The following is a 10,273-nucleotide window of genomic DNA, read 5'->3' as shown; positions in this document are numbered from 1 at the left end:
GAATTCCTGTGGTGGCAGCAGCAGACAGTGCCTAGGAGAAACAAAACCCTCAGGCCAGGGCATCTTCCTCTCCAGTTGGTGCAGTAGTGATCCCAAGAGGGTGATGCAAACTTTTTAAAGTCTTTTCTCATTTTGCCACCTGTCGGCTCCAAACATGGGTGCAGCCATGAAACACTGTAGCAGAGTACCGTAATCAAAGACCCAGCATTCTGGCCAGAAAACAGAAAAGAGGAGCTCCAGGGAACCAGAAAATATTGGAGACATTGTGGAGAGGAAGGAGTATGAGAAAGTGACACCATAAAGTTTTTAATGAACTGAGCGCATCCCCAAGCTGCATGTGTGTGGATCGGCTCCTAATTAGTTAACCAAAGATTTTGAGAACGAAACTAGCAGATTATCATCCGACTTCCACACTGACCACCAGGACACATCTGAAGAAAACTGGAAAGGCTTTGAAAACTCAACTGATTGTTGGAACCACAGCTCACAAAACACAGATTGGAACTTGCAGCTTGAATATGACAAGGTCAATTGCTTCTAAAACAAAAACAGCATCCATCCGCCTAATATTTTGTGAGGACCCAGAGCCTCAAAACTGAATGTGCATGACACAATCCAAAATTACAAAAAAACAGATAAACTGCACCCCACATGAGAAAAGACAGTCAGTACTAAGTAGCTACCAATACTGAGAAGAAAAATAAATTTGAATTACATCACAAGGATTTTAAAGCAGCTTTTATAAAAATGTTCCAACAAGTGGTCGCAAGCACTTTTTTTTTTCCTTGGGACGGAGTCTCACACTGTCACCCAGGCAACAGTGCAGTGGCGCAATCTAGGCTCACTGCAACCTCGGCCTGCCGGGTTCAAACGATTCTCCTGCCTCAGCCTACCAATGAGCTGGAACTACAAGCATGCGCCACCACGTCCAGCTAATTTTTGTATTTTTAGTAGAGAAGGGGTTTCACCATGTTGGCCAGATGGTCTTGATCTCTTGACCTCATGATCTGCCCGCCTCGGCCTCCCAAAGTGTTGGGATTACAGGCGTGAGCCACCATGCCCGGTCACAAACACTTGTATACCAATGGAAAACTAGAAGTATCAGAAAATAAATAGAAGATGTAAAAAGGAACAAAATGAATATATTAGGACCAAAAAATCCAATAACTGACATACAAAATTCTAAGTAAGCTTTTTATTACAGTAAAACTAAAGAGGTAAGAATCTGTTATCGTGAATATAAATCAACAGGAATTATCTAATCTGAACAATAGAGAGAAAGAAAGATGAAAAAGTCTCGATTAGAGCCTTAGAGACTTGAGGAACAATAACTAAAGTTCCAACATACATGTCATCTGAGTCTCAGAAGGAGAAAATGAAAAGGAGCGCAGTGCTGAAAGAATTTTGAAAACCTAACAGGAAAAATTACCCAAATTTGGCAAAAGGCAAACATTAATTGAACTAAAAGAAGAAATCAACAAATGTACAATTATGATTAGATAATTCAACACTCCTCTCTCGCTAATAATTAGTGAACATTTGAAATTAATTGATGGTAAGTTTGATTAATTCTGAGATTTTTAGCAGTATTGTTTATCACATATAATTAACAGATCATTTCTGTATAGCAAACAAAAATGCATTCTGAGCCACATGTAATAGTTCATCACACAAAATGTTGAGTTAATGCCAGTCAGAATGTCTCTCTTCTTCCAGTACAGGGATTACAAAATAATGGCAAGACCTAAGGTCATGTATGCAGTGATTCACTAAGTACCTTAAATAATAGGACATGAGATTGCAAGCACAATGCAGTCACTATGAATGAGAAAATTATGTAAGAGCTCAAGTTCATGTGCTGAGGAGGCTTCTGAGAAGCCTTAAAGGATATCTGGCCAATTCAGCTGTTACTGGGTTAGACTATTAATTGTCTTATTGCCTTAACTCTCATCAAAAAAAGACTGCTCTGCAGGCTTTTTTTTTACTGTGGGCAAGTGATTAACAACACCCCAGCTAGAAAATTCTTCCTGATGTCTGTCCTGAGTCTCTCCTGATCTAACAAGCAAGGGTATACAAGAACTTATCAACTCCATCATCAATTACAAAAAAAATTAAGTTGTCATAAGCATAGTATACGATTTAAGGATTTACTAAAATGCAATGGTAGTCAAGCTATCAGAGGATGGAGGAACCTCCGTTTCACCATCTGGTTGTTCCTCTTTGTTCCCTTTAGGTGAGTCTGAGCCAAAAGACCCAACACTAATCACAATGCTTTGTCCATTTCAGTAGGCATAATTCCTTACAACAACAAATAAAATAATCCCTAAGCATTTATTTCATAAAATAAATGTATTAGATATTTTGGCCTCACAAAAATAAGAGATAGAGTCTACTCAAAACAGTGTTTTGTTTATCATTTTCATAAATTTCAAATTAGAATGTAAAGTTTATCATATCTCTTCCATTTGTTAGGATAGTGTTAGTAACATTTATAAAATCATTTTCTTTCTCCTGTATTTATTTGACATAAAATGTGTCATTCTCTGAGAATATAAGATGAAATCATTCCACAGAAGAATTACTTATATGCAGAGTTATTTATGTGTAATAGTACTCCATAAATTCCCTTTGAGGGCCTTGTTCCATTCAGCAAGAAGAATGTCTTGATGGTAGACAAAATTGTACGTAAGTTAAAAGTATGAAATTTGAATCAAGCTCTGCCATTGAATTGTCACGTGAACCTGGAACAACATAACCTCTCCCTGTCTTAGTTTCTCTATTTATATAATGGTAAGTATAATAAAACTATACTTCAAGGGCTTTTGCAAGCACTATATGAACCAATAGATCTAACACATTTAGAACGGTAACTTGATATTTTAGGCACCTTGTAAGTTATTGTTATTATCTGCAATTGTATCTACCCAAAAGCTAGAATCCCTCTTCTTGGCCCCCACATTCCTATGACATGTCTATAAATATCTTGTAAATATATTTATTCATTTTATGCATGCATTTACTTGTATTCTGAATGCCTTTACATGTGCCAGGCATTGTCTAGGTGTTGGAGAAACTAAGACTGATTCAAAGGAGATATTTACTTGAAAGAAATAGCTGTAATGGTTATAATTTGCAGACAGGGAGAACCCTGTGAAAAAGAAAGTAATTAGAAAACTTCATTTTGAATATAAAGAGAAAAAACTTTTCTGAGTTCATAAAAGAATTCTTGATATCATCAACAATAAAGAGCATATGCTAATATTTATATTTCCTAACTATTCTACATACCTATATTTATATAGATTTCAGCTAACAATTGGGCTTTGGTTCTACTATGACATTTTGCTAAAAGCATTGATTATATAAGTTTGTGTTATATACAGTGTTTGCATGAGATAAAACTTTAAGACAAAAATATCTGCTCCAAAAAGTGCCTTGGTCTTGGTAGCTTATTCAAGACATTTATTTTATATTCTGCAGACTGTGAAACATCTGTTTATTAATGCAGCTTTATGATATGTTGTAAATTGCCTTAACATAAAATATGAAATTGCACATTCGAGCCCAGATTTTCTTTTCATCCCCTTGTGTTCAGCTTGGCAAAAGGCTGATACTGCCAGAAAAAGAAAGAAAACTTTGTTCAAAATTGAAGTTAATACTTTCTTGGAGAAATAACTACTAACTAAAGACAAATACTTGATGAGACTATTTTAATGTATCTATTGTCCTTATTAGGTAGGATATAATTTCTTACTTTAACATATGATGATTTTATTTCAAAGCCATTCTGACTGAATGACTTTCAAGGTTATTTTGCAAATCATAATAATTTAAATACTTAAGGAAACTAGTCAAAAATTTGAAATTAATTGATGGTAAGTTTGATTAATTCTGAGACTTTTAGCTGTATTATTTATCACACCGAAGAGAAGATCATTTCTATATAGCAAACAAAAATGCGTTCCGAGCCATATGTAGTAGTCCATCACACAAAATGTTGAGTTAATGCCAGTCAGAATGTCTCTCTTCTTCAAGTACAGGGATAACAAAATAATGGCGAGACCCAAGATCGTGTGTGCGGTGATGCACTAAAATACCTTGAATAATAACAGATGGGGCCGGACGCGGTGGCTCACGCCTGTAATCCCAACACTTTGAGAGGCCGAGACAGGCAGATCACGAAGTCAGGAGATCGAGACCATCCTGGCTAACGTGGTGAAACCCCGTCTCCACTAAAAATACAAAAATTAGCTGGGTGTGGTGGCAGGCGCTTGTAATCCCAGCTACTTGGCAGGCTGAGGCAGGAGAATCGCTTGAACCCAGGAGGCGGGGGTCGCAATGAGCCGAGATCATGCCACTGCAGTCCAGCCTGGCGACAGAGTGAGACTCCGTCTAAAATACTATTACTACTAATAATAATGACACATGAGATTGCAGGCACAATGCAGTCTGTGAATGAGAACATTATGTAAGAGCTCAAGTCCATGTGCTGAGGAAGTCTCTGAGAAGTCTTGAAGGATATCTGGTCAATTCAGCTGTTACTGGGTTAGACTATTAATTGTCTTATTGCCTTAACTCTCATCAAAAAAAAGGCTGCTCTGCAGGCTTTTTTACTGTGCGAAAGTGATTAACAACACCCCAGCTAGAAAATTCTTCCCAATGTCTGTCTTGAATCTCTCCTGATCTAACACGGTGTATTCCTAGTTCAGCTTCCCTCAGTAGAAACAAAGAAGAATTGCTTAAAAGGGAAATTATTCTATGGGTTTTGTTTCCACAACAAAACAGGAGATAATGTGCCCTATTTTGTAAAACAAATCATTTCATCGAAAACTCTCTTTGAAACCTCTACTCAGAGCTATGTTAAGTTGTTTAGTGACCTCAAGCACCAACACATGGACATGTCACCCATTCCCTACCACTAATAACAGCATTAAAATGTCATTTTGTCTTTAAAAGCAAATATATCCTGAAACTAAACCCACTTCTTTGTAGATCTTCTGACTGTAAAATTCTGGCTAAGTTGATTCATTTATTCTCTGCCTCTTTCTTTTCCTCCCTCCCTTAGTTCCAGCTGTATTGCTGAGCCCTACGAAGGTGCTGTCCTGGGCTGCTGAGTTCTCCTGAGCTGCAGCAAGGATGGGCCAGACTCAGGGCAGGTACTGCCGAATGACAGTGAGCCCTGCTTTCTGGGGGCTCCCTGTTTAATTAGGTGAGGCTGACTTTAGTCACATTATCACACCAGGGAACTGAGGCTCTCAGGCTGATGGAAAATAGCAGGAGTCTACAGGATGGTTATATAAAGCGGCAGGACTGAAGGGTGAGGGAAGGCTGCCCTGAGACTTAACTGTTGAGCCTTGCAAGACAGGACAAGGACAGGATCAGCATAAAGAGGTGGGTGGAGGGTGGGTAGAGAATTCTAAACCAAGGTCAACAGAGTAGTTTTTGTGAAGAGAGGAAGCAGGGAGTGAATGAACAACTGAAAGAGGGCCCACAAGACTGGGATGCCAAGCAAGGGAGAGGAACAATGCCTGGCCCCACACTGGAGGGCACAGTGAACCAGGTTCCACTGGCCAAGAGTCACTCGTGTAGGTGTCTCTGAGCTAGGAGATGTGTACTAATTCCTAACAGGCAAGAGTTTAGGCCGGCATTGGCCATCAGAGAGGATGAAAGAAAAAATTTGTCTTATTTATGGAGCTAGCATAAGAGGAAGCTAGAGCTTTACTAAATGTGAAAATTTAAGTTGATGTATATTCTACATCCTGAACAACCAGTGACAAACTGATGTTCCAATATCTGTTTATACAGTGTGTGTGTTATCATTACACTGGCAAAATGGATGATATGTTTGCCTTATTTCAAATCACTAAGTTTTGTATTATGGTGATATACTCATACTGCTTTCTTATCAACTCAGAAATCCATTATACAAAATCCATTTTTTATGGCCATCTAAATCCTTTATTCAATACCATCAGCCTGGGACATGTTAATATATTTCTGCTAGACATACCACCCAGACTTGAAATGCATAGGACACTAAGCACATAGTGGTAGCAGCATGTTTTCCTTTAATAAAAAGACATTATTTTTGGAGGCAGTTTTACATTTACAAGAAAATTGAGCAGACAATACAGAGAGTTCCTTAAACCCTCCCTAGCTCATCATACCTATTATTAAGATATCTTGCATTCGTCTGGTGTATTTGTTACAATTAATGAGCCAATATTGATACATTATTATTATTAACTAAAATCAACAGTTTCATTAAGGTGTACTGTTTGTGTTGTACATTCTATGGGTTTGGAAAATGTGTAATGTCATATATCCACCATGACATTTTACAGAATGGTTTCACTGCCCTAAAAATCCCCTGTGTTCCACCTATTCATCCCTCCTTCTCCCTGCAAATCCCTGGCAACAACTGTGCTTTTCATTGTCTTCATCGTTCTGCCTTTTAAAGAATGTCATATAGTTCGGCTTACACAGTATGTACTCTTTTCAGATCGGCTTCTTTCACTTAGCGATGGGCATTTAAGGTTTTTTTTTTCCATGTCTACTCATAGTTAAATAGTGTGTACCTTTTTATCACTTAATAACATTCTATTGTATGAGTGTACCAGAGTTTGTTTATCCATTCACTTACTGAAGTTGCTTCCACCTTTGGGCAATTATGAATAAAACTCCTATAAACATCAATGTGCAGATTTTTGTGTTGACCTCAGTTTTCCATACCTTTGGTTAAATGCCAAGACACAATTACTGGATCTTATGGTGACAATATACTTAGTTTTGTGAGAAACCACTTCCCTTCTAAAGTGGCTGTATGGGGCTGTATAGGAAATATTTGAATTAACATCCAAATCACACAATCTTTTTGTTACACTTTAAGCATTAAGAGATTCGTTGTCATAGTTACCTTGGGAGTTAGTTGCTTCTGAGGAGTTGACAAGGGCTCTCGGTAATGTGGTGCATATTAACGTTAACAGGTTATATTAATGAATAAACAATGCATGAACTGTGAAATGTAAGACCATGCAGAGTATATTATTAATAAATAATAATGATTATGTACTACGTATTTATCTTTTGACAGAGAGGTGCACAACAAAAACAAATGTTGATATTCTTGAAAATTTTGAAGTCAAGTCTCAACAATTAAATATAAATTTTGTCTTTCCATGTAAGTGATAGACTAATGAATCTACAGATTTGCAAGTTTATAAGCCGAAGTGAATGAGTGCCTCCTTCTGAAAATTATTATTGGGCTTATGAGTTTATAAGTGCATGCATTTCACCCTGGTTGGCCTAAGCTGGCAATTTCCTCCAAGTGGGCATATTAGGAATACCAAATGTCATGAACAGACTGCAAAGAGAGAGAGGAAGGGAACATTTAGCTTCTGACAGCTGAACCAAGAAAAGGGTCCAACCAAGTTTCCTGGGAAAGCTGCAGGTTACAAATATCAGATGACCAATACCTAACTTCTCTTGTTTATTTTAATTCTTCTGTTTTAATAGACAATATTTCATTTTGACATTTTAAGGAACATTTCTGTGTCTCTGTTCTAGCCCCTGATGTTACCTTTGGAGACTAGGAGGAAGAGAGAGGGAGTAATTAATATAAGAACATATTTTTGAGTAAGAAGAATATGCATGAGTTAACATTTATTAATATATTTTTATTAATCAAAATATATTCACAAGAAATTATTTATATTTAAGAATATGCTCAATAACATATATGTAAAATATATTATTCAGGAGTGCATTCTTAATTCACATGTTCTTTGTGCCACATGTGTCCACTGATCTCTGTGGAAGATTCATAAAAACGATATGTAAGGTATCCAAATTGCTGAAAACCACAGACAATGAGAAAAATCTTGAAGGCACCTAGAGGAAAAATTAAGCATTTACATCAAGCATTTATCAATGAGAAGAATATATTCATCGGAAGAATCGTATTAGTCCGTTCTCACGCTGCTAATAAAGGCATACTCGAGACTCGGTAATTTGTAAAAGGGAGTTTTAATTGACTCACAGTTCAGCATGGCTGGGGAGGCCTCAGGAAACTTAAAATCATGGCAGAAGGGGAAGCAAACATGTCCTTCTTCACATGATGGCAGAAAGGAGAAGTGCTGAGCAAACGGGGGAAAAGCCCCTTATAAAACCATCAGTTCTCGCGAGAACTCACTCACTATTATGAGAACAGCAGCATGGAAGTAACCGCCCCCATGATTCAATTACCTCCCACTGGGTCCTTCCCACAACACATGGGGATTATGGGAACTACAAGTTAAGATGAGATTTGGGTGGGGACACAGCCAAATCATATCAAGAATATATTTTAAAAATAAATCATTTTATTCAAGAATAAACTCATATAAATATGTTTATCTTTTGCACCATCAGTTTTTCCTTTTTTCTTTTAGCTTCCATCTGTCAAAGCAGAAAGCCAGGTCAGAGATAGACCAGCCATCCCTTCACATTTGCTGAGACTATGACACAAGAAAATTAGTCAACCTTAAATAGTTAGCAGAAACAAATTTAACAAAATAGTCATCAGCAAATTGGCCACTCAGCAAAGTGGCTTTGTCAGTGGACCTGGTCGAGACAGCTAGGACCTGCTGCCACAGAAACTGCCTTGGTCAGGTGAAACAACCCCACAGCAGTAAGTGTAGGTAGAAAATCAGGACTGAAGCAATTACACATGTTGTCATTGACCTTTCCATCTGCAGGGGATAATGCAATGAAACCCTGCCACCTTTCCACAGGCTAACTCTCAGAGGAATAAAAAAAAAGTCATGTGCAGGTTGATTTGGGCTAACGAATGATCTTTCATCATTCAACTTTTGATGTTCAAAAGTGTATGTTATTATATTTGTGCACATGTGAAATGAAAGAGAAAGGAGCTTGGACACATGAAAACCAAGGAAAGAAAAACCTAATTTGTTTTACTAATAAAGAATAACAGAAAAAAGGGTAATACCAATTTCACTTGCTTCTATGTCTCTTTTCTATGCCCTCAGGAAGTACAACTTACCACTTTGGGAAGCTTAGGAGGGAGCATCACTTAAGACCAGGAGTTCAAGACCAGCCTGGGCATCATATTGATGTCTCTTCTAAAAGCACTACTAATGCAATAAAATGTATTCTCGTTGAAAATTACATCTGCAGAGAATAAAACAGGAAAAAAACTGCTGTCTTTTCACACTCAATTGTTTATCTTCTGATCTGATTCATCTTGCCATTGTATGTTGCATATAAGTTGTAATAAACTAAAATTGAACATATTGTGGTACATATACACCGTGGAATAGTGGAATACTATGCAACTGTAAAAAAGAATGAGATCATGTCCTTTTCAGGAACATGATGAAGCTGGAGGCCATTATCCTTAGCAAACTAACACAGGAACTGAAAACAAAATACCGCATCTTCTCACCTACAAGTGGGAGTTAAACGATGAGAACACATGGATACATAGAGGGGAACGACATACACTGGGGCCTACCTGAGAGTGGAGGGTGGGAGGAGGGAAAGGGGTACAAAAAATAACTATTGGTTACTAGGCTTAATACCTGAGTGATGAAATAATCTGTACAACAAACCCCTATGACACGCGTTTACCTATATAACAAACCTGCACATGTAACCCAAACTTAAAATAAAAGTTTAATATATAAATATATATATAGTGGCATTTTGGACAGACATTTACATATAGAGATGCATGAATACATAGATCAATAGATGTATGTATTCACGGGTTATTATGAATGCAAATATGCATTTAAAAACAGGGTTTCCAGCACTTTGGGAGGCCGAGGTGGGCAGATCACGAGATCAGGAGATCGAGACCATCCTGGCTAACACAGTGAAACCCTGTATCTATAAAAATACACAAAAAAAATAGCCAGGCATGGTGGTGGGCGCTTGTAGTCCCAGCTACTCAGGAGGCTGAGGTAGGAGAACTGCTTGAACCTGGGAAGCGGAGGTTGCAGTGAGCTGAGATCGCGCCACTGCACTCCAGCCTGGGTGACAGAGTGAGACTCCATCTCAAAAAAAAAAAAAAAAAAAAAAAGGATTTCTGGGCATTTTTGGTTGTCGTTTTGTCTGTTTTGTTTTTATCTATTGACACCAGCAGGAAGGCTTACTTTTTTATAGTAGGTATATATTTCAAACCATAGTCTTAGGTCTTGTGACATAGTTAAAGGAAACATCATATAAGAGCTCAGAGATGTAAAATAGAGCCATTTATGAGGTTTTGAGAACC

The sequence above is a fragment of the Homo sapiens genome, chromosome 9 (assembly GCF_000001405.40).
Source record: "Homo sapiens chromosome 9, GRCh38.p14 Primary Assembly".
Taxonomy (NCBI): Eukaryota; Metazoa; Chordata; class Mammalia; order Primates; family Hominidae; genus Homo; species Homo sapiens.
This window is presented reverse-complemented; position numbering follows the sequence as displayed.